General features: G+C 38.2%; 1 protein-coding gene across 10 annotated transcripts in view; it reads left to right on the top strand.

Moving 5' to 3' along the window:
• The window catches only part of DPP10 (dipeptidyl peptidase like 10), a 1,403,140-nt gene that overhangs the window by 245,059 nt on the left and 1,132,166 nt on the right, over positions 1 to 25,915 (top strand). For 2 of the 10 annotated variants that reach the window (NM_001321910.3, NM_001321905.3), the window contains exon 2: positions 19,418 to 19,475. The exons of the other annotated variants lie outside the window; for them this stretch is intronic. Coding sequence is in view for 1 of the 2 variants with exons in the window: in NM_001321905.3 (NP_001308834.2) it covers positions 19,418 to 19,475 (58 nt within the window). In the remaining variant the exon portion in view is untranslated. The remainder of the gene's footprint in view (positions 1 to 19,417; positions 19,476 to 25,915) is intronic. 10 annotated transcript variants of the gene reach the window in all.

Genomic DNA, 25,915 nt, shown 5'->3' on the forward strand with positions numbered 1-25,915 from the left:
CTTTCTGATAAGTCACATCCCAAGAAAAGATAATGAGAGCCTGGAGCAAGGCTTCCACCATTTCTGTGGCTGCTGTCATGTGCTAGACTCTGGTCGTTTTCACGGCATAGACTCGAGTTCAGGTACTAGGCCATTCCTACAACCTCACCTGGTGACACACAGAGTCCCGTCTCTTCAGAATGCCCTTTCCTTTCTTGTCTGTTATTCATCTGTCATGAATTCTTCTTCCAGGTAGAACATTAGTTTTTCTGTAATGAAAACATTTCTTCTAATTCTATCTAAAACAAAACATTTCTCCACTTATAGATGATAAATTTAGCACTTTGTCACTCAATATCTTGTGCCACTCTTTGTTCCTATGTGTGAGTCATGCTACATCAAAGAAATTCAAAGGGAAGAACATGTTACACAATTCTATTTTCTATAGCACCCAGTTCAAGGTTGAATATTTATTAATTCACTTTGATCTAGCATATAAAAACTAAAAAATGATTAGTCACGTGGAGAAGAGGGTGGGGCTAGCCTGTGGAAAGTCACAGAGATACAATATACTCATAACAAACCTGCACTTGTATCTCCTGAATCTAAAATATAAAAAACATTTGAAAAAATCTATAATGCAATTCTGTAAAAGTAGAGTAATAATTCTCTTCTATTTTTTCTACCTAGATGTACCTGAGTACATCTCCCTTTTGCTGCCTTGTACAGTGACTCAGGCAGTGGTGATTAATCCAAGAGGGGTGGTGGAAGAGGCTGTGCATTCATGTAGAAATGCAACAAAACCACCAAGCCTGTGTTTGGCTAGAAAAGCTTCTTAGGATGTTCTGATGCTTGGTCCTAGGAGACAGCACTTTTCCCTTCTATACTAAGCTAAATGGCTGGATTAGCATGGAAAACTGAAAGTTAGAACTACAAAGTACCTCCCTTGCATTCTGGAAATGCGGAAGAAAGCAAGCTGTAATCTTGGCATGTGAGGAATCCACAGTCTAAGTGACTGACAAGTGCGCATGTGAGGACAAACCATGATAGAGATGGGCACAGAGTGTTATGGACTAGAATAGAGGAGTTAGGTAAGATTTCCCAGAGGAAGTCATGTGTGGGATGAGTTTAATCAAGGATGCTACATGAATCATTACCATCGTCAACAAAGGAGAAGTTAGGAGGACATATTTTTCATTGATATTTTTACATGGTTAACAGTGATTGGATGTGGGAAGTGTGTGTATGTGTGTATGTGTGTGTGTCTGTGTCTGTCTGTGTCTGCATGTATCCCGAGATGTCATTAACATTCCAGGTTAATACTCATTCATGTATTTATTGCTCAGTCCAGCTTCCCCTCCGTGGTTTGTTTTTTTTTAATTTCTAGTTTTTTTTTCTTCAACTGTTATTTTAAGTTCAGCGGTACATGTGCAGGATGTGCAGGTTTGTTACATAGGTAAACATGTGCCATGGTGTCTTGCTGCACAAATCATCCCATCACCTAGGTATTAAGCCTGTTAGCTCTTCTTCCTAATGCTCTCCCTCTCCCATGCCCCTTACCACCCTGCGACAGACCCCAGAGTGTGTTATTCCCCCCCAACATTCCATGTGTTCCTGTCACTCAGCTCCCACTTATAAGTGAGAGCATGTGGCGTTTGGTTTCCTGTTCCTGCATTAGTTTGCTGAGAATAATGGCTTCTAGCTCCATCCATGTCCCTGCAAAGGACATGATCTCATTCATTTTTGTGGCTGTACAGCATTTCCATGGTGTATATGTACCACATATTCCTTATTCAATCTATCATTGATGGGCATTTAGGTTGATTCCCTGTCTTTGATATTGTGAATAGTGCTGCAATGAACATATGTGTACATACATCTTCATATAGTATAATTTATATTCCTTTGTGTACATACTCAGTAATAGGATTGCTGGGTCAAATAGTATTTCTGCCTCTAGGTCTTTGAGGAATTGCTCCACTGTCTTCCACAATGATTGAACTAATTTACACTCCCACCAACAGTGTGAAAGCATTCCTTTTTGTCTGCAACCTCACTAGCATTTGTTGTTTTTTTGGCTTTTTAATAATAACCATTCTGACTAGCATGGTACCTCATTGAGGTTTTGATTTGCGTTTCTCTAATGATCAGTGATGCTGAGCTTTTTTTTTCATATGTTGGTTGGCCGCGTGTATGTCTTCTTTTGAGAAGTGTCTGTTCATGTCCTTTGCCCACTTTTTTTAATGGGGTTGTTTGTTTATTTCTTGTAAATTTGTGTAAGTACCTTGTAGACTCTGGATATTAGTCCTTTGTTAGATGGATAGATTGCAAAATTTTCTCCCATTCTTTAGGTTGTCTGTTCACTCTGATGACAGTTTCTTTTGCTGTGAAGATGCTCTTTAGTTTAATTAGATCCCATTTGTCAATTTTTGTTTTTGTTGCAATTGCTTTTGTTGATATCATTATAAAATCTTTGCCCATGCCTATATACTGAATGGTATTGCCTAGACTTTCTTCTAGGGTTTTTATAGTTTTGAGTTTTACATTTAAGTCTTTTGTATGTCTTGAGTTAATTTTTGTATTCTGTGTAAGGAACTGGTTTAGTTTCAGTTTTCTGCATATCGCTAGCCAGCACTCCCAGCACCATTGATTAAATGGGGAGTCCTTTCCCCATTGCTTATTTTTATTAATTTTGTCAAATATCAGATGGGTGTAGGTGTGCAGTCTTATTTCTGAGTTCTTCATTCTGTTCCATTGTTCTGTGTGTCTGTTCTTGTACCCGTACCATGCTGTTTTGGTTACAGTAGCCTTGTAATAATATAGTTTGAAGCCAGGTAGCATGATGCCTCCAGCTTTGTTCTTTTGCTTAGGATTGTCTTGGCTATTTGGGATCTTTTTGGTTCCATGTGAATATACAAATATTTTTTCTAATTCTGTGAAGAATGTAAATGGTAGTTTAATGGGAAAAGCATTAAATCTATAAATTACTTTGGGTAGTATGTCCATTTTCACAGTATTGATTCTTCCTATCTACGAGCATGGAATGTTTCTCCATTTATTTGTGTCCTGTCTGATTTCCTTGAGCAGTGGTTTGTAGTTCTCCTTGAAGAGTTCCTTCATTTCCTTGTTAGCTGTATTCTTTTTGTAGCAGTTTTGAATGGGAGTTCATTCATGATTTGGCTCTCTGCTTGCCTGTTGTCAGTGCATAGGAATGCTAGCAATTTTTGCACATAGATTTTGTATCCTGAGACTTTGCTGAAGTTGCTTATCAGTTTAAGAAACTTTTGGGCTGAGATGAGGAGGTATTCTAAATATAGGATCATGTCATCTTTAAATAAAGATAATCTGACTTCCTCTCTTCCTATCTGAATACTGTTTATTCCTTTCTCTTGCCTAATTGCCCTGGCCAGAACCAATACCATGTTGAATAAGAGTGGTGAGAAAGGGCATCCTTGCCTTGTACTGGTTTTTCAGGAGAATGCTTTCAGCTTTTGCCCATTAAGTGTGATATTAGCTGTGGGTTTGTTATATATGGCTTTTATTATTTTGATGTATGTTCCTTCAATACCTAGTTTACTGAGAGTTTTAAACATAAAGGGATGTTGAATTTTATTGAAGGCTTTTTCTGTGTCTGTTGAGGTAATCATGTGGTTTTTGTCTATAGTTCTGTTGATGTGAGGAATCACAGTTATTGATTTGTGTACATTTAACTAACCTTGTATCCTGGGGATGAAGCCAACTTGATCATGGTGGAAAAGCTTTTTGATGTGCTGCTGGATTTGGTTTGCCAGTATTTTATTGAGGATTTTTGCATCAGCGTTCATCAAGTATATTGGCCTGAAGTTTTCATTTTTGGTTGTGTCTCTGCCAGGTTTTTGTATCCGGATGATGCTGACCTCATAGAATGAGTTAGGAAGAAGTCATTCAATTTTTTGAGAATCATTTTCAATTTTTTGGAATAGTTTCAGTAGAAGTGGTGGCAGCTCTTCTTTGTACCTCTGGTAGAATTCACCTGTGAATCTGTCTAGTCCTGGGCTTTTTTTGGTTGGTAGACTATTTATTACTGTCTCAATTTCAAACTCATTATTATTGATCTATTCAGGGATTCAGTTTCTTTGTGGTTCAGTTTTGGGAGGATATATGTGTCCAGGAATTTGTCTACCTATTCTAGATTTTCTATTTTATGTGCGTAGAGATGTTTATAGTATTCTCTGATGGTTGTCTGTATTTCTGTGGGGTCAGTGGTGATATCATTTCTTATCATTTCTGATTGTGTTTATTTGATTCTTCTCTCTTTTCTTCTTTATTAGTATAGCTAGTGGTCTATCTATTTTGTTAATTGTCTCCAAAAACCAGCTCCTGGATTCGTTTATTTTTTGAAGGGTTTTTTGTGTTTCTATCTCCTTCAGTTCTGCTTTGATCTTGGTTATTTCTTGTCTTTTCCAGCTGTGGGGTTTGTTTGCTCTTGCTTCTCTAGTTCTTTTAGTCGAGATGTTAGGTTGTTAACTTGAGATCTTTCTAGCTTTTTGATGTGGGCATTTAGTGCTATTAAGTTCCCTCTTAACACTGCTTTAGCTGCATCCCAGAGATTCTGGTACATTGTTTCTTTGTTCTCATTAGTTTCAAAGATCTTGTTGATGTCTGCCTAAATTTCATTGTTTACCCAAGAGTCATTCAGGAGCAGGTTGTTCAATTTCCATTTGATGGTGTGGCTTTGAGTGAATTTCTTGATCTTGAGTTCTAATTTGGTTGTGCTGCTGTCTAAGAGACTGTTTGTTATGATTTTAGTTCTTTTGCATTTGCTGAGGAGTGTTTTACTTCTGATTATGTGATCAATTTTAAAGTGCCATGTGGTGATGAAAAGAATGTATACTCTGTTGTTTGGGGGTGGAGAGCTCTGTAGGTATATATCAGGTCTGCTTGATCCAGAGCTGAGTTCAGGTCCTGAATATCTTTGTTAGTTTTCTGTCTCAATGATCTGTCTAATATTGTCAGTGAGGTATTAAAGTCTTCCACTATTATTGTGTGGGAGTCTAAGTCTCTTTTTAGGTCTCTAAGCACTTGCTTTATGAATCTGGGTGCTCCTGTATTGGGTGCATATATATTTTAGTATAGTTAGCTGTTCTTGCTTAATTGAACCCTTTACAATTATGTAATGCCCTTCTTTGTCTTTTGTGATCTTTTTGGTTTAAAGTCTGTTTTGTCAGAAACTAGGATTGCAACCCCTTCTTCTCTGATTTCTATTTGCTTGGTAAATTTTCCTCCATCCCTTTATTTTAAGTCTATGTGTGTCTTTGCACGTGAGATGGGTCTTTTGAAGACAGCATAGTGATGGGTCTTGGCCATTTATCCAGCTTGCCTTTCTGTGTCTTTTAATTGGGGCATTAAGCCCATTTACATTTAAGATTAGTATTGTTATGGGTGAATTTGATCCTATCATCATGATGCTGGCTGGTCATTTTGCAGAATTGTGTATGTGGTTGCTTCATAGTGTCACTGGTCTGTGTATTTCAGTGTGGTTTTTTAGTGGCTGGTAACAATTTTTTCTTTCAATTTTCAGTGATTCTTTCAGGAGCTCTTACAAGGCAGTCCTGAGGGTGACAAATTCCCTCAGGATTTGCTTGTCTGTAAAGGATCTTATTTCTCTTTCACTTATGAAGCTTAGTTTCACCAGATATGAAGTTCTAGGCTGGAAATTATTTTCTTCAAGAACGTTGAATATTGGCCCCCAATCTCTTCTGGCTTATAGGGTTTCCACTGAGAAGTCCACTGTTAGTCTGATGGCTTTTCCTTTGTAGGTGATCTGGACTTTCTCTCTGGCTGCCCTTAACATTTTTTCTTTCATTTCGATTTTGGAGAATCTGAGGATTATGTGTCCTGGGGTTGATCTTCTCATGGAGTATCCTACTGGAGTTCTCTGAATTTCCTGAATTTAAATGTTGGCCTGTCTTGCTAGGTTTGGGAAGTTCTCCTGGATGATATCCTGAAATATGTTTTCCAACTTTATTCCATTCTCCCCATCTCTTTGAGGTACCCCAATCAGTCGTAGGTTCTGTCTCTTTACATAATCCCATATTTCTTGGAGGTTTCGTTTGCTCTTTTTTATTCTTTTATCTCTATTCTTTTCTGCCTGTCTTATTTCAGAAAGATAGTCTTCAAGCTCTGAGATTCTTTCCCCTACTTGTCTCCATTTTTCTCAGGAGGTATTTTAACAAAATTTAAAGGGATGTACCACACTGTTTACAATTACTGTGTATATTTGTGTTTACGTGTGCACGTGTGTGTACGATGAACCCAAGGAAAGCATATTCTAAAATAAGGACCAATAATATTATTTTCTATGATTTCTTCTTAGTACTGAACCCAATAAAGGAATATCAAGAATGTTTCAGACAGTAGGGTAAGATAGAGATAAATCCTACAATTGCCACTTATAATCTGGGTAACTTTGGGAAAATTACCTTTCTTTGAACTTATTTTATTAATTTTTAGAATGAGAATAATAAAAATACCCTCCTCATAGGACTGTGGTGAAGATTAAGAGAATTAATTAATATAAAACAGCATGGAGCCAAGCATATGGTAAGACCTTAAGGAATTTTATTTCATTAATTATAAAAGACACATTTCTCCCCTACATTTTAACATCTCCGTAGAGAAAATATGTCTTACAATTTATGTTCTTATAGTTGATGAAGCAAGTATTCTTATTTAAATATGATTTATAATCGAAACATAGTTTTTTGTTTTAAAATGTTAGAAATCAACACTATGAACTCAGATACCAATTCTCTCAGTGGGGATAGTTTGCAGTGAAGGAAATAAAATGGAGAAATTTGCAAATTAGGACAAAATTAATATGTGTTCTCTTTGAGTTTATTCATATTTATTCCACAAACATTTGAATGGATAACCATGTGCCAAATTCTGTGTAGGACAAATTTCACAAGATGAATAAAACGTAATATTTGTCTTCAAAGATCTAACACATGTTCATGGAAGACAACAGAACCGTATAAGTACAGCATCAGTTATAAGTACCTAAGCTAATTGTTTACATAGAAGAAAGACCTAATTCATAGGAGAGGAGAGGGTGGGGAAAGACAAAATGAAAGATGTGATTTCTAAATTAAGTCTCAACAGACTGGTAAAGTGAGCCAGGTAAAAGGTGAAGGGAAGTAAGCTCTAGAAGGAGGTAATACAAAAGGACTTGGGAGAAGAAGAGAGAAGAATCTTTCTTGTCCAAGAAACTACATGATATTTAATTTGGATGAAATATTTGCAGAAGGAGTAAAAAATCTCAGCTAGAAGTTAAGAAGGGTCAGCTCACGGAGGACCTTGCCTAGTTATGCTGATGAGCTTGAACTTTAGCAGGAGTTAAATGAAAATACTCTGAAACAGTTTAAAATGGAGGGGGTGATATACTCACAATTTTATTTCCAAACTGTTGTTCAGAGTGAATTAAAGTGGATAGGATCAAAGACAAAGAGGGCAGTTAGGCGCTTATTGTGATCATTATTAATAGTGGTATTGGAGATGTAGTGAAATGGGCGATTATGAAAGTGATAGAATCTATAGGACTTGATGATTAATGGAATGTGAAATAGAGAGAAGTTAAGTTGTAATAACCACATCTCAGTTCAAATGATAAACAAATGCCATGCAGATCTAGAGCGGGGGCCATTTGCCTGAGCCATTGTGCCTAACACAGTGCTGAGTCCACAATAAACCAATGCTAAACAGTTGTACATTGACATATCATCGATTCCTCTGGAAATTCTTTGAGTACTTCACACACAGATGTCCATATTGAATTAATACATAATTATCAAGAGAAAAAATATCCCTGAGTCAACATTCTAGAAATGTTCAAGTGTCTAGATTGGATTTTCTCATTGTCCTTTTCCATAACAACACAGTGACTTGGAACATAACATGACACTAAGAAATAGAAGAATAAAAAGGATCTTGAAGCAATTCCCTTTTATCTTGCTTTATTCTTAACAGCATTTCTCTGGTCTAATTCTTTTATGGTTCCAGGGAGAATTACATTTCAAATTCCATAATTGCACAGGAGAATTGGAGTCTTGTAAAAATTTAGAGTACTTCATTCAAAGGCAATTTTTATTATCAACTGAACCTATGCTGTGATGCAGCCAAAGAAATTGTTTAGAGCATCATTAAAATAACCTTTTTAATATGACTGCTTTCTCTTGAAAAAATGTAGCACCCTCTTATTTAATATTACCATATTACAATGGACTATATATTTGTTGAAAGTCTTATAGTATGGTATTTAGTATATTGAACCAGCACAAAATATACATGAACTTTATCAGTTTTCATTTTCCCTTTACAAACCAAGAACAATATTAAATGACATTTTATGACATTTGATAGGTATTTAAAATTTGTTATTGAGGTTCTTCAGTGAGCCATAAAATACAAGTGTAACAGTATGGCTGTGCTTTCATTATGAGAAATGCAAGCAGGAAGCATTTAAATCAGCACCATTTTCCATCAATGTCTTGCTCCTGATTCTCTGCCAAGTTCATTATCTCTTCTGTCCCTAAATTTGTCCATATGAAAAATTAGGAGAAAAAAGAATAAATTAATACCTGCCTCTAAAATGATCTGAAATCCAGGTATGGAAAATCTTATACAAGTTTAAAAGACTGGTTTATTCACTACTGTCCTCATTTGTTTGAACACACTACAATGTTCTGTGGGATAGTAGCTGAGAGACAAGCAATAGTCCTTTTCACACCTTCCATCCGTAAAGACAATTCTTTTATTTGCAGCTGAAGCTATTATATCCAGAGCCTATGGCTGTTTGGCTCTTTTAACAATGGAAATTTTAAAAGAGAAACAGCAGGTAAAATGTGAAAATGTCCTCTGGGATATTATTTTATTACTACATGTCCCTTATCATTTAGCAAACTAGATGCAATATAAAAAATTAAGTCAGTTTGTTTGGTGCCTGGTTGGCAAAAAATCAAATAACAGTTACTAAAGAAATAATGGTGAGCTAACCTAAACTCTGCGTGTGTGTGTGCGCGCGTGCCATAAAGCCAAGGTGGAGAGGTGAATGAAAAAGTCATTAGAGGAGAGGCAAAAGCCATATCGCTTGAAAAAAGCACCATGGTATCATGGTCGAAGAATGGGCTTTAGACGCTGGCAAGCTTGGGTTTCAATTATGGCATTTTGCAGTGTGCTATTTATTTCCGAGCATTAATTTCTACAATGAAAAAATACATAATTAATATCTCATAGGATTTGAAGGATCAAGTGAGATGACTGAAATAAAGTATGAATCCAGATGTCTGTCATATTAATTCTCTCTTTTAATCATGGGAGCTATTGACAATGCAAAAGGTACTCAGTATAGCACTAGAATGATAGTGTACCTCCCGAGATAATGTGTAAGGTCCTTCACTAACACCTTTTTCATAGGAATATTGTTGAGCTGCCTTCACACAGATAGAATATCTGGGTTACAACCACTTTGCAGAAAAGTTACCAGATATAGCTTTTTGAAATTTTCTGCCTGGGTTAAAATTACAGTCTTGTAGTAACTCTTTGGTGCATATTAGTAACTGCTGAACTGTGTGGTGTTGAGCCAATCACATTGATGGGAAAGGAAATTTAATGCATCAGACAAGGGAAAGTTACCACGGTTAGTTAGTAGACATAGAATGCTCTAAGTTAGTAAATTCATGGTAAGTTATGCAATAGAAGAGATCATAAATAACTAAATAACAGGGAAACTGCAAAAAGACTAGCAGAAGTTGGCTGGGCACAGTGGCTCATGTCTGTAATCCCAGCACTTTGGGAGGCCGAGGAGGGTGGATCATGAGGTCAGCAATTCAAGAACAGCCTGTCCAACATGATGAAACCCCGTCTCTACCAAAAATATAATAAATTAGCCAGGCATGGTGGCAGGCACTTGTAATCCCAGCTACTTGAGAGGCTAAGGCAGGAGAATTGCTTGAACCCAGGAGGCAGAGGTTGCAGTGAGCTGAGATCGCGCAACTGCACTCCAGCCTAGGCAACAGAGTGAGACTCTGTCTCAAAAAAAAAAAAAAAAAAAGACTAGCAGAAGCACATCAGTTATTATTATTCTGTAGGAGGTTCAACCAGAATCTATCTCTTTGCTCTCTATTATCTATAAGTCACCTTCTAGATCTTACAACAGGGGCAGAAGTACACCTCTCTGAAATATCCTTCTTACAACTGTAACTTATAGATTTGGTTTGGTGTCTACATTGCCAACATTACTTAAATGTTTACAATTCCACTGTGACCTGTTGTCACTATTACATTTCAGAGATGTATAAAAGAAATGTCCTCTTCTATGCAGGAATATTTGTATTTCATGTTGGAATTAAAACCCAGGCATGTTTTAGTGTACAGATAGGTACCCTTCTAAAATATTAAATCATTACCCCACAGCATGAATTAACCTTTGTGCCTCTGCTCTTATAACATCATTAACATAATCATGATAGGATATAAAACACTCATAGTTACCCTCACCCCTGCTCTTGGCTCTCTCTGAGGGAAGCCAGCTTCCATATCATAAAAAGAGGCCCATAAGGAAAAAAAATGGAGGCCTCTTGCCTGGAGCTAGGAGAATTAGCTGTCTGGGAAGTGGATGTTTCAGTGTCAGTAAAGCCTTCAGCTGACTGCTGCCCCATCTGCCATCTTGACTGCAACCTCATGAGAGACCACGAGCCAGAACAATCCCAGCCAAGACTCCCCAGGGTGCCTCACCTCAGAAATTGTGTGAGATAAATTTGTCATTTTTAGCTATTAACTTTTAACATTATCTGTTATGCAGCAATAAATAATCAATACAGGAGGGTCAAGGGGTCAAGTGTTTCTTGTTGATACCCAGAACACGTGAGATCAGGGAGTAAGTAACAGACCTTCTAGAACAAGGGTTGATTAAATCTAAGTCAGGAGAACAAGGCTCAATCAGTCAAGGGATCTTGGAAAGCAAGTGAAAGTTTGGAGAGTTGAGAACAAGGCCCTTAGAAGTGACTCATGGTGTGAATAAATTCCAGAGAGCAAGAGCAACTGCCTGCCTGGCTTCTTGCATTTTCACAGCTTGCATTTGGAAAGGGGGGCTTGGTGCATTCAAATGAATAAAAACAAGATGGTCATAACATATTATGAATACTGTCTGTATAGTCAGGCACCTTTCCCAAAGTAATAATTTGAAATAAAGATTCCATTGGTCAGTAACAGGCAATTCCCATTTTTGAGTGCTTTCGTGATGTGTTCAATATTCCCAGTTATTACTTCCCAGGCATTATGCTTTATAGAAAAGTACCTATTTTTTAATGACTGGATAAGCTGGGCCTTACAATCCACTTCAAACCTGTTGTTCTATTTGTCCATGAGTACACAGGCTGCTCTAGGCAGGAGGACATGAAACTACAAACCATTAAATGGTGATAATCTAAAAAACGTTAAGTAATTGTCTTGCAGACGTAAACTCAGAATAACATGCTATATACATCTTGGAGGTACCATGAAGGCATGGCCCAAGCTGTATATATGTATGCGTTTGTATAAATATACATATGCATGCAATCATATATACATATGCGTGTGTGTGTGTGTGTGTTGAGAGAAAGAGAAAGGAGAGATACCTAGCACAAGAACATATTTTGATAATTTAATTCACAGACATAAAAAGGAAATGTGGGCACTTAAGAGACTTTCACTTGAACGATATCGCTCCACAGTGAGGCCTTTGGGGAAATCTCTGCACACACTGCAAACACTGTTATGGTAGAAGGAAGCTTTCTTCTCCCTGTTACTATTAGAGAGTTTGTCACCTATCTTTGAGGCTCTTGGCCCATATCTAAGTATGAGGAAAGAAACCTTAGCAGTCTTTGATAGGCAGAGGATAACATTGTAAACCCTAGAGCTGTGTTTTAAGAGGAAGTTAGAACACCAGTAAGAGGAAGGTTTACATGTTAAGACAAACAGATGAACCAGCTGAGTAAATGTGGGACTTGAAGGTTTCCCAATACTCTCCAGCTCCAAGAAGAATGGACTTAATTAACTGAGAGCTGAGACCACACAGTGTGGGAAGAGCAGAGGAACCAGAAGGGGCAAGGTCAAGGGAGTGAATGGAAAGGAGAGATGCTGCTGGACTCTGTTGAACAAATGGGAGAGTATGTGTCTATTTTTGTAATCTATTAGTTACGATACTCTTAGATACAACAAGGAAAGTCAAATTCGGGTTTGTTGAAAGACATAGGAACTTTACTGGCTACCGTGAAAGGAGAGCCCCGTGGTAGATGGACATTAAGGCTGTACTGATTCTGTGGCTCAAAAGTATCACTAAGAGCCATATTCATTTTCGTGTCTTTGTCCTGCTCCTGCCTGCTATGGAACCAGCTTAATCCTAAAGCCTGGATCCCCATCAGAGTCACAGAATACAAAGCATTTGTATGTTGTATGGAGGAGGAGTAACTGTTCAAATAAAAACTGGGGAAGTCTCCAGGCAGGGGGGAAAGCAACTGTTTTTGTTGGAGAATCAATCACCTCCCCACACCACCCTCCACCTTCTCCTGCCCCTGTCCCAATGGCTGTATCATCCTATGGAGATACCATCTGCATATCCAATAGACAGAGTAAAACAAACAAACTCCTAGGTGTAGATTACTTCCCACCTTTCCAGGTATTAAAGGTATTTTATAGAAATATGTGTGTATGTATATTTTCCTGAAAGAGAGTAAAAATATTTGTCAGGAATTGAAAGAAATCGGTGATCCTAAAATGTCAAAAATCACAAAATTTTAGGTAAAGTTTCAAGATAAATTGGTTCTTACTTCTCTTCTATTGTTTCCCCAATTTACATCCACATCACAAACACAAGAACAACTCAAACCTTTTCCTTTTGTCATCCTACACCATGTCATGCCTCGGGTTATTTGACCACGTCACTTCCTCTGCCTCTTCTGCCTGGTAAGCCTTAACTCTGCCTTTATGACGGAATTCATGTACAGCCTCTTCACTGGAGCTTTTCTTTATTGCTTTCTCTTTGTGAACAGCAGATCCAGCTCTTTTGTACCATAAACGTCCCCTAACAATAAGCACATACTCCACAACATTGGTACTTTTTGTTTGCCTGTCCTACTCCCTAATGAGACTGTGAGGAATTTACACACAGGATTTGTGCCTTTCCTATTCGTCTTTTGGTGAGCTGTGCTGGCTTATGAAGCTGTTGTTCAGTGAACACACAACCATTGATAGGTGTGATTTTCAGCAAAGTGACAATAGAGAACGTGTAGGAGCTTTGTGATGGTGTACTAGTATCATTGTTATTATTATTATTATTCAATTTAAGAGAGGTTTTTCTCCTTGGTTAGGACCTGAAAACCTACAGGGCAATATGATAAAAATAAATCTCTAGATAAATGATGTGATCTTCTTTAATCTTGGGGATTCACACATCATGGCCCTGAAGCAAGCTAGTGAATGTAATTCTTAAGTGCTAACATTTGTGGAGTGCTTTCTATATGCCAGGTGCCATGCTTAATGCTCCACATTCATCATTCCATTTGATCTTTACAAAAATCTCAGGAGATGGGTTCCATTATTATTGGTCCCATTTTATAGATGAGAATGCTAGGATTTGCAGAGAGTATGTACATCATCCATGTCACACTATCTGTTCATTAGATGAGGCAGGATTTGAATTCAGGGCCCTCTAGCTATAATTAAGCCCTTCAGACCAGTTAAAGATTATGCTTTAAGGTGCTCTGTGTGCAAGGCAAAGCGCTATATAATTTATTATAAAATATTCTTTAACTCTTAACCATAATCTTGCAAGGTAGAAATTATTGCTCTCATTTTAAAGGTGGGGAAACTGAGTTTTAAAGAAGATAACTACATTTGCCTAAAAAGTATAATCAGTAATGTTAGTGCCACCCTTTGACAGAAGTTTATTTAATTCCTGAATTCATGTACCTTTCAATCGAAACCCAGGAAAAACGAGTGCCAACTACATCCAAGGAATTGTTGATGGGAATGGGGGGTGGGCAGTCCAGGAAAGCTGAGGCTGTTATGAGAAAATGTCTCTGCCTTGTGGGGACTTATAACACTGTCAAGATGGTAAAATCTGGTATTATAAAACAGGAATAGCATTTGAGGTCATCTATGAAAATAATGTGAAAAGCTAGCTACAAATGAAAAATTTAAATAACAAATCAGCGCAAGCCTAGAGAGATACCTCTGGATAGAAGGTGATTAATTCTCTAGTAAATTAGATGAATAATTATTGATATAGCCACTAGAGGAAGGGGGATTTGGGCTCCAAATTTACTCACTGTCTTTGAAGAAGCTGGTCCTCTGAGCATCTGTAAGTTACCTCACTGCAGTGTAATGTGATTGTCAATGTATTTATAGATCAACCACATTAGACTGTAAGTTACATGAGGGAAGGTGGGGCCATGTATTGTATTTTTGTTCTCAGAATTTGACCTAATTTGTTGTACTTAGTAGGTATTCAGTACAAATATATTGCATGAGTCTACCATCACTTCAACCAGGGGGGCATGGTCAGAAGAACCATCATACAGGAAGCAAGTTTTGAAGTGAGGAAATTTTTTTTTTTTGACAGTTTAAGATGGTATGGGAAGTCCCTTTAGGTGGATGAAATGGTGTGAGCCACTTGATGTTGTTGGGAGAGCATCACAGTGGGCGATCTCTATTCCTAGCATCTGCCTGGTCCACTGGTAGTGGGTGGCCATTGCTCTCTGGAAATGGACCTGCAGAGAGGGCACAGGCACCAGGAGATATCAGAGTGGCATTATATAATTTAAGATATTTAGCCTTGATCTTGAAAGATCACATGCTGCCCTGTTACCTCGTATACTTGGCTCCTTCTCCCTGGTCCATGAGGCCATTTGAAGACACTTAAAATGCCTATTTCATTCCTCACTGCACCTATGGCTTTATATTGCCTTGTCATATTCAACGCTGATGCTGTGGTCTGCACACGTATAAGTCACAAGGATGCCTTCTGGCATTTATCAGGCACAGGTTTCTTGGATCCATCCTGGATTCTGCCTCTTTCCTAAGAACAGAGTATGGCTCTGAAATGGATGCTAACCTCAGACCAACCAGCTGAGTGGATGGAAAGGAGCCAAAGGAAAACCCCAGAAGATAGTCCAGAAAGAAGATGGAGGCTCTTATGTCTGTGTTGTTCACATCAAAATCTTCACTTTCTTTGTACCTTGAACAATTTGGAGTCCACTTTATCTTGAACCTACATCCAAATACCTCTGTATTAGGGTGAGCAGGGTGGGAAGAAGGGGAGGGGATATACATTGGCAGAGAGATGATCTTCTCCTGGAGGTTGTAGTGTGTCACCAAGAAAGTCATTGCATTGCCGGTGAGATTCAAATAATTAAAGTATATGTGAAATCACTTTCAAAAAATTCTATATGGAAAGTTATATGTTGTAATTAAATGGTTTTATTGACATAGAGTTTTACATTAACGAAGCATTCTTTTTCAAAAAAAATAATATATCTAAATCTTTTTCTCAGTTAAGAACTATGCTTCTTGTTCTGGGGAAAACAAACCACTTTTATTTACAGGAGAAACAAATATACTTTTTAAAAATCCAGAAAATTGTAAATAGGCTAGCAGAGCTGCTAAACACGCATAAGATCACAATTGTGATTTTACAATACATCTTAATAAAAAGAGTAAATTACTTTTCATTTTCACAGACATAAGTTTGTTTTTAGGCTTTCCCAAGTGGATTGATACACTTGTTTGAATGTGATTTCCATTTACCTTTATATTAAAATAAATGGAAGTGAAAAGGTCAAGTTTATTCAGAAAATTGTTAGCTATCCTTGGGAAAAACTAATTCAGCATGTGTGATTTTAATCAATTTTCATTCATTGTTAAAGTTCACACAAAGTTTAGCTTGATGTCCATAGGAAATGGAAGTGGTGACTGGTATATCAGGCACGATAAGTATACCAAATCTGAAGTCCTCTAGATAGTATGGTTAATAAAGCATATTTGTCTGGTTCCATAAAATAGAAATGTTGAAACTAGAAGAGCTGCTGGGTTAATAGGAGCATTTTCAATTCTCAATCTTCATTATTCTCAATGCCAAGAGGGAAAATTTGACTCAAACACACTGTTTGGGCTGTAAATCAGAGTAGTTACAGGGTGACTTGGGACCAGCTATGAAAGAAAGAACCCAGAAGTGGGTGATATGAGGAAATATATGCCCCAAAGAAGGGATTTGGGCCTTTTTCCTACTGCCTCCCACAGAGCCGGGCTGTACCACATGCTTTTCCAAATTTTCATTTAGCTCCCTTTATGTGCTAGGGATCATCAGGGCAACAGGGCAAGGCTGGATGATGTTATGGTGTTATAAAGGTTAGGAATAAGGCAATGCTCAGAATGATGTATTTCAGAAAGGACTACATGCCCATAAATGCAATCTAGATAAAGATGGGATTAGGCACTGAAGCTGTAATTGTGCTGGTGATAGACATGCCAGCAATAGCAGTGGTGTTGGTGATAGACAATCAAAGATGGAAAGGATCCGTGTGGCCTGAAATAAGATAGATTGGGGAGAAGGAAGGTCTTAGTCTGATAGTGAAGTAAGGAGAGGGATTGAACAGGCTGATTGAATGATCATTCCAGGCCTCAGTAGGGATGCAGAGATAGGGACGCTATGTGATAGATGTGTGTAGATACTAGCCTATTCTGCTACAGCCAGTAGGAATGTTATGTTTTGACATATTTGATTGACAGATGCAAGTTGTACCAGACTACACAAACCAAATAGTTAATAGTTATCTCAAAAGAGGATGTTGACAGATTTCAACCATTTGCAGGGTCATTATGGCCCAACCTTTGGAAAATTACCATTGGTATCCCTCAATAATATTATTTTGCAATTTGGTTTTTAAACACTCTCTCTCCCTTTTAGGTAAGTGTGTACAGGTGCATATGATAGATTTCAAATGTGAAGTATACCTACAGGGTGAGAAATGTAATGGACAAAATGGGGGGTTATGGACTGAATTGTATCCCCTGAATAATTTATATGTTGAAGCTCTAACCTCTGATATGATTGAATTTGGAGATAGGGTCTTTAAGGAGGTAATTAAGGTTAAATGAGGCTATAGTGGTGGAATCCTAACTCTATAGACTGGTGTCCTTATAAGAAAAGGAAGAGAGAGTGCACATCTATAGGAAAGACTATCTGAGGACACAGTGAGAAGGTAGCCATCTACAAGCCAATGAGGGAGCCCCTCCCCAAAACCAACCCTGCCAATGCCTTGCTCTTGGACTTCCAGCCTCCAGAATCTTGAAAAATGTAATTTATGCTGTTTAAGTCACCCAGTATATGGTATTATGTTATGGTAGCCTGAGCAGACTAGAACAAGGGGCCATGGTCAAATAGTAATTCTACAATGGAAGAAAATTGAAAGCCACATTGAGCTGGACCTCTTCATAGACCCAACTGGAGAGCCATGACTTTGTCAAGAGAATGGAGAAAATTCTTATCCTAATATGACATAATCTTTTAGCCCAGTACCTTTTAAATAGCCTTGTTATACTGGATGTACTATAAATTTATCTTAAATTTATCACTTTTGGGGGAGGATGTTCTAAACTACATTTTTTCATAAGTTTATGAGAACAAAAGGAGTAGAATATGTAGATAAGTATATATTCATAAGATGTATATTATGTATATATACATAAGAATATGTATGTGTATATATTTGTTCCATCTTAACTTTTCCATAAAGAATTTATAACTCACATCTGTCTTAATTTACTTTCCTTGATCACCGTGTCTATTAGTTGCCAAAAGGAAATGGAAAACACCAATATATCTTGTTATGTTTATACTGAGAATATTCTGTCAAATTGGTTGGAAAAAAACTAGAAAATACAAAGTCCTACAGTATCAAGGATTTAATAACTATTGAATGTATAAATGATAAAAATAAAAAGAGACCATGAGGACAAAAAAGGGAGAGGAGAGTATACCAGCTAGGATGCTATCAGTGGCAAGTAATAAAATATCCAGTATAAGCAGACTTAAATAATATAAGGCTATATTGCCCTAATTACCAAGAAGATTGAAACTATGCTTCAGGTGTGGGTTGATCATGGTGGCAATTCCTTATCTATATTATTTGCCCAGGTCCATGTATCAGCTTCATCCTAAGGCTGGCTTCTCTCATGGTAGCAAAGTAGCTCTATTTGTTCCAAGGGTTCATATGAATATTCCACACTGACAGGAGGAGAGAGTGTCATTGTTTAGTAGGTTTATGGAGTTAACTATGCTGCCCCCATGGGCCATTTTTCTACTTTATGCAGACTAGCCTTCTAAAGAACCTAGCATATTTGAGGAGTAACTTAAATTACAGTGCAAGTTCTAAGTCAGTGAAAGAGCTGCCTGGCCATATCTTTTGATTCCAAAGTTCTGTAGGACAGAACCAGCACATTTTACAAATTGGTTTAGAATTATACAAGCCTGTCTGGTGTATTATGGGGAGAGGTGTCCCTGATGGGGCCTAACTGGAAAGAGAGACAATAAGATCTTGTATTGGCACCCAAGTTGCTGAAATAAATGACCAAAACCTTGATTGTTTAAAATAACAGTAATTTACGCTTTCACAGTTCTGGAAGCCAGAATTCAAAAATAAAGGTGTGAACAGGGTTGGTTTCTTCTGAAGACTCTAAAGGAGAATATATTCCATGCCTCTATCTTAGCTTATGGGTGATTTTGGTAACACTTGGCATTTTTTGACTTGCAGACACATCCCTGCAATTTCTGCCTTCATCTTCACATGGCCTTTCCCTCTAGGTCTCTGTCTTCTTTTATATCTCTTATAAGAACATTTCACTGGATTTAAAGCCCATTCTAAATCTAGAACCACATCACCTTGTGATCGTTAACCTAATTATATCTGCAAAGACCCTATTGCAAAGTAATCTCACATTCACAGGTATTGAGGGGTTAGGAATTGGATCTATCTTCTAGTATCCACTGTTCAACCCACTACAGATCTCTTGGAGAAAATTAGCATGAGTGAAGGTCCAGGCAGTGGAGGAGCAGAGTTTCTAGGCACATCTTAATTCTGGCAAAAAGAAGAGTGTCATTTAAAGCAGCATTCTCCCAAGGAGGGGGATGTGAAAATATGTTGGAACTTCTCTTTATAATTTTCTTCATCTAAGGAAATAAGAAATAAATAATTTTTCTAATATTGGGCATATAGATGGATACCATGGCCCTCCCTGGGTCTGTGGGTCATGCAGGTACATGTCAGGTACAAGAGGCATCCTGACTTTGGGAGGGGGATGCCACACAGATGTGGGGCTGACCGTCACACGCTTTTTCATCCTTTTGTTTTCTGTGTTTCAGGATCCATTGCTGTTTACATGGGCCCATTAAATGGAGTTATGACTATTTTCTAGTTTATGTAAGTTGACCTTCACAAGACGAACAATTACCTTTAAATATTGTTTCTGACTAAAGACAATACTAAGAATGCATTAGTAATAGAGAAAAAATAGGAAGAGCTGACACTTCTACACTTAAGTGGACTCTTATCAGCCCAAGTAGGAGGTAAAATTATGGTAATCTAATCAGATATAAGAAGCATTTAGATAACCAAATTTCAAATTATTAGACAGCTAATATTTGTATTATGAATTTATATCCACTGTTGTTAGTTGTTACCATCACTAAAGTCCATGATATGTATCGAGACAGTAGTTATTAAAAGTACATATTTGGGGAATGTGAACTTAAACATATTTTATTAATGGAGCAAAATTTTTAAACTTTGGAGGCCATTGGTTTCATGGAAATAACCGTGCATCACTTGGGGCTCAATAGCTTTACTTGAAAATCCCACTAAAAAGTGAGTCATGAGAGTCTTGCTAGCCCTTTGGGTGACAAGAGAACAGAACCATAGGTTAGCAATGCAAGGTAGGTCAGAAATTAGGTGCCCAGCTTAATTTCTGTTCTGCTTAGCTGCTGTCTGTTCTGCTATCCAATGCCAATCAAGTAGAGCAATGGCCAGAGTAGTGGAGCGACAGATTCTACTTATATGTGATAATTCACCATCTCCAGCCTCTTAAGCAGAATTCTATGCACCAGTGTCAGTTATGGAAAGGGGAACACTGTATACAAATTTCCAATCCCAGGGGGACTCTAAAACCTCACCAGTTTCTACAAAGGTTTCTAAGTGTGGAAGGAGGTTTTTCACAAACCCAGCTGCCAGAATTCTACAAGAGTTCTTGACTCTGGCAGGGACTCAAAGGAGACACGGCTGCTTCAGGGGTCATACCTCTACTACTTGCATTCTTAGCTCCAGTTTGGTAAGAAAGAATAATGATAGGAGTCAGGCAAAGCAACTTTATTATTCAAGGATAGGCAGCTAAAACAAACAAACCTAGAATCCATGCTGAGTCAGTTCCCCGAGTCTCAGGAAAGTTGCCCAGGGCAGGTGGAGCCTTATCTGTTCATGCCCACTTCATACTGCAGCTGAGGGACACCAAAAGCAATCCACTATGGGTTTTACACCCTGGTTGCCCCTGGGTTGCTGAGCACAAGCATTGCAGGATATCCTGTTCCAGGAGGGATGACAAAGCCTGGGCTATTCTAGGTGGTTTCTCCTTATGTCAGGACACTGTATCCTCAGCACATGCTACAGTTTTCCCAAAAACTACAGCAGAAGGGGGAAGAACTGGGTCAGCCAAGGCTCTCTGGGGCCCTGTCTTCCTGCACACATTCTTCCCCTGTTCCCACCACCGGCACTTACTAATTGACACTATAGACAGAAAACTGAGCACCTTGGTCTGGAAGGAGACAGTGCTCCAGAGGAATGTTTTGTAGTTTGGTTGCAACTGTGGCTCAGGTGTACATCACTGTGGTAAAAAAAAGGAGGAAAGAAAAGCAAGAAAACAGAAAAGGAAGAACGTGAAGCTAATGTTGGGTGTCAGAAAAGTCCTAACAGCATTCCTTTAACTCGTTTACTTTTGTTTGTTTTTGTTTTTTGTTTTTTGTTTTTTTTGAGATGGAGTCTCACTCTGTTGCCCAGGCTAGAGTACAGTGGCACAATCTTGGCTCATTGCAACCTCTGACTCCTGGGTTCAAGCGATTCTCCGGCCTCAGCCTTCTGAACAGCTGGGACTACAGGCACACTCCACCTTACCCAGCTAATTTTGTATTTTTTAGTAGAGACAGTGTTTCACTATGTAAACCAGGCTGATCTCGAACTCCTGGCCTCAAGGGACCCACCCGCCTCTGCCTCCCAAAGTGCTGGGATTTCAGGCTTGAGCCACAGCGCCCAGCCCCATTGCTTACTCTTTCACTGCTCTACCTCTTATCACAAGAAGCTGGCCCTTCAAGCCAAGCCAATTCCCAGGCTCCTATGTCAGCTGCTTGCATTTGACCAAAGGGAGGCATTGGCAGGAGATTGGAGGGAAGAAAGACAGGAGGAGCCTGGGTACTTTCTTCCCCTCTCTGAGTCTTAGGTGGCAGCTACAGTGCTACATCTCTTCCGTGATCTACCTATTGACATCCAGGTTCATTTTGATTTCATTGGCCTCTTTCCTCTCTCTCTCCAGCCTAGGTGTGGAAGCAGCCTTCTGCTATTTCTGATCTCTAAGTGACTTCCCTGACTCATTTTTGGCTTGTCAACTTCTTAATTCCCTGTGTAAAAAATGCCCTTAAATTTCCTTTATTTCAATACAATAACTAATTTCTGTTTTCCTGGTTGGACACCAACATATCCTTTAAGGTAGAAGTAGATAGGTGATCATCATTCAAATTTTATATTTTATTACTTAATTGCATGGTGTTTTCCATTTGCCTATGATTTTATTTTTTAGCTAAGATATGTTCTATACCTTTTCCCCTTTGCCTTATGAAACTGCCAAGAACTAATTTCATTTTTGATGTCCTGAAGGGATATTATTAGAAAAGGGATGGAGCTGATTGATAAAGCAAAAATACAAATTTATAATTGGTGAATTGCAGATCGATCTATATGATGGGAATACGTTCTAATAAGATTTTTTTCTCTCATTTCCTCCTTGCAGATGGATCCCTGAAAGCCTATTATCTTTAATATAAAATTCTTATTTATTATCTTTTAAAGGTTTGGAAGGATGAGAGCTTTAAGGGGAAATTGAGTAGAGAATGAGATTAGGAAAGGATTTCATGCAGAGAAAGAAAGATATATAATGCAAACTATGCTATGGTCTTTGCATATGCAAACAAAGCATCTGACCTACTTTCAGGAGGCCACACTCTTTTGAGCTTTTCCAGTAATTCATTCTCTCTTCCCACCAACTCTACCCTGTTAGAATGCAAATAGTTAGGACTGTAATGTGGGGCATGGTATAGAATAGATGTTGACAAACTACTAAGGCCTGTGGGCCAAATCTAGCTCACAGTCTGTTTTTGTAAATAAAGTTTCATTAGCACATACCTATGCTTAATTCAAGTGCTTATTTTCTACAGCTTCTTACATGCCACAAAGGCGGATTTGAGTAGTTGCAATAGAGACAATGAACCTGCAATGTTGAAGGTATTTGCTATGTAGATCTTTATGAAAAACTTTGCTAATCCCTGCTATACAATAAGTTGCTTGCTTTTAAGAGGATTACTATGATCTTTTTGCTTTTCAGGTGAAACATTTCTGGAGCACCTACTGTGTGCTAAGTACTGGCTAGATGCTTTATAGAATAAAAGCACAGGCCGGGCATAGTGGCTCATGCCTGTAATCCCAGCAATCTGGGAGGCCAAGGTGGGTGGATCACTTGAGGTCAGGAATTTGAGACCAGCCTGGCCAACATGGCAAAACCCCACCTCTACTAAAAATACAAAAATTAGCTGGGTGTGGTAGCACATGCCTGTAGTCCCAGCTACTTGGGAGGCTGAGACAGGAGAATCCCATGAACCCAGGAGACGGAGGTTGCAGACAGTTGAGATCATGACACTGCACTCCAGCCTGGGCAACAGAGCAAGACTCCGTCTAAAAAAATAAAAAAAATTAAAAGCACAGATATGAAATGCAATTAAATTTTTCATGTAGTAGGATAAGAATGACACCTGCAAATTTAGGTTAGACAAGGGAATAACATGGATGCTTAGAAGATACAGACAAGGGTTGTTCCAGATGACAAAGAAACTGCTTTCGACTAAGATAGAGAACACAACAGCAGGGGTTAGGATTTTACTTTCTTTTCAAACCAGGAAAGACAAGAGAATGCCATCCTCCTGTGTGTATGGAGAAAACAAAAGCTGAACACAGTTATTTGTGCTTTAAGTTCAGCCTGTTGGACTTCATACACTTTCAAGGAAAGCAGGGCAAGAAAAAAAAAGATTAAGGTCAGGAAAAAGGCAGTTTTTGGATGATCATCAATTCATTTACCCATTTACCCATCAACGTTTGAGTGCCCTTTCTTCCAGGCATGGTATGACATGCTGGGCATAGACAATAATTGTAGCAGAGGAGGTTCCTGCCCCCAGAAAACTTTTATTCTGGTGGGTGGCACAGGGTGAATAGATATAATACATACTTCCAGCTCAGCAGACTAACAAGGATTTTTATCTCAGAAGAAGATTTAGGAGGATCTTTAAATAAAAGTGCAAGGAGAATGTGTTGAAGATTCAGGGGAGTGGAGAGTTTGAGAAAATGGGTTCAGGATCCAGCTGCCTGGGTTACAATGGGTGGCCCTTTAGGGTGTACAGCTCCCCTTTTTGGGAAGTTACTGAGTACCTCTGTGTTTCAGGTTCCTCATCTTTAAACTGGGATGATAATAGAATGTACTCATAAGACTGTTGTAAGCATTAAATGAGGCCATGTCTGCAAAATGCTTAAAGTAGTCAGTGCTTGGCACATAGTAGGAGCTATGATGTTTACTAATAGAAGAACCAACCTGACCCTTTGTTTTTACTCTGAGACTGTCCACGTTTTAATTATTTTTTTTTTGTGATAGTTCCAATAGGATAAGTGAACAAGTCTAAGAAGAGAGAACTGTTTTGTTCTTTTTTATATTTTAAATGAAAGTACTTGAGGGTCATAAAATGAAGCTAGCAAGAAGTTATAATTTAATTAGCATGCCATTGTTTATCTACTTCATCTGGAATAATTAACTTCATGTATACAAGACTGCTGCTTCCAAAGATCTCAAAATATTTTCTTTGAAAAATGCAATTTTCCACTGAAATATGTAGAATAGAAAGTCAAATTATAATAATTATCATCATCAAATATTTATCAAATGGTTATGATATACCAGTCACAGAAAGTGGTCTTACACATTCTGGCTGGGCACGGTGGCTCACAACTGTAATCCCAGCACTATGGGAGGCCAAGGTGGGCGGATCACCTGAGGTCAGGAGTTCGATAACAGCCTAGCCAACATGGTGAAACCCTGTCTCTACTAAAACTACAAAAATCAGCTGGGCGTGATGGTGCATGCCTGTAATCCCAGCTACTCGGGAGGCCAAGGCATGAGAATTGCTTGAACTCAGGAGATGGAGGTTGCAGTGAGCCGAGATCATGCCACTGCACTCCAGCCTGGGCGACACAGTGAGACTGTGTCTCAAAAAAATAAAATAAAATAAAGTAGTCTTATATATTCATTAACTCTTTTCCTTAATTTTGGAAATCCATAAAGCTGATATTTTATCCCCATTTTTCAAATGAGAAAGCTCAGATGGGCAAATAGCTCAGATTCTATTCCTAAATCACACTAGACATGAGGTAGGACTCCTTCCCAGGGCTACCTGACTCCAAAGTGTGTGGTCCTTCCTCTTTCTTATGTGATATGGTCTCAAGGACACATTGAAAGTTGACATTTAGAACACCTACTTCATCTTCTTTCAAAAAGAAAGCATTAGTAGGCAAAATTGTAAAATGTATCCATCATTTTATCAATCATAAAAGCATTACATATTTATTACAGAAATTTTGAAAAGTTTAGAATACTATGAAATAGATATACATCAGCCATTACCCTAGCCACTAGAAATATCCATTTTAATTATTTTATATATTTTCAAAATTTCTTTTTATACAAACACATACACTTCTAAATGGTTTCCTACTACATTATATGGTAAGTCAGACTTCAAATTTAACATGCCATTTAGAGTTGTATAATATTATTTCAAAGTCTACATAGAATATTTGTATGGCTGTAGTACAATAACACTTAAGCAGATACCTTGAGTGCTTCTAAGTTTTTACAATTATAAATAATTTTGTAACCAAATTCTTTTTTTTTTTTTTTTTGAGTTTTGCTCTTGTTACCCAGGCTGGAGTGCAATGGTGTGATCTCAGCTCACTGCAACCTCTGCCTCCTGGGTTCAAGCGATTCTCCTGCCTCAGCCTCCTGAGTAGCTGGGATTACCGGTGTCCACCACCACGCCTGGCTAATTTTTTGTATTTTTAGTAGAGATGGGGTTTCACCAGGTTGGTCAGGCTGGTTTCAAACTTCTGACCTCAGGTTATCCAACCCCTTCAGCTTCCCAAAGTGCTGGGATTACAGGCGTGAGCCACCGTACCCCGCCTAATTTTGTAATAAAATTCTGACGCAGTCTTTCAGTCTTTTATTATTTCCTTAAAATAAAATGACTGGGTTAAAGGGTAAAATTATTTTAGAATTGCTGATATGTATAGACAGACTGTTCTCCAGAAAGAATACAACTAAGTCAATGTCAACTTAGCTAAAGCCCTATCGGAAAATAAAAACATCGATATACTTTCCTCACTTAACCATTAGGCACCTTACTAATTTTCAGGTTATATTTGGCACTGAACTGAACAATACAAAAATACTTTGAGCAGTATGTCACTCACCTTCTAACTTTCAATGATATATGATCCAAGATAAAATC

Source organism: Homo sapiens, chromosome 2, assembly GCF_000001405.40.
Source record: "Homo sapiens chromosome 2, GRCh38.p14 Primary Assembly".
In the NCBI taxonomy this organism is placed as follows: Eukaryota; Metazoa; Chordata; class Mammalia; order Primates; family Hominidae; genus Homo; species Homo sapiens.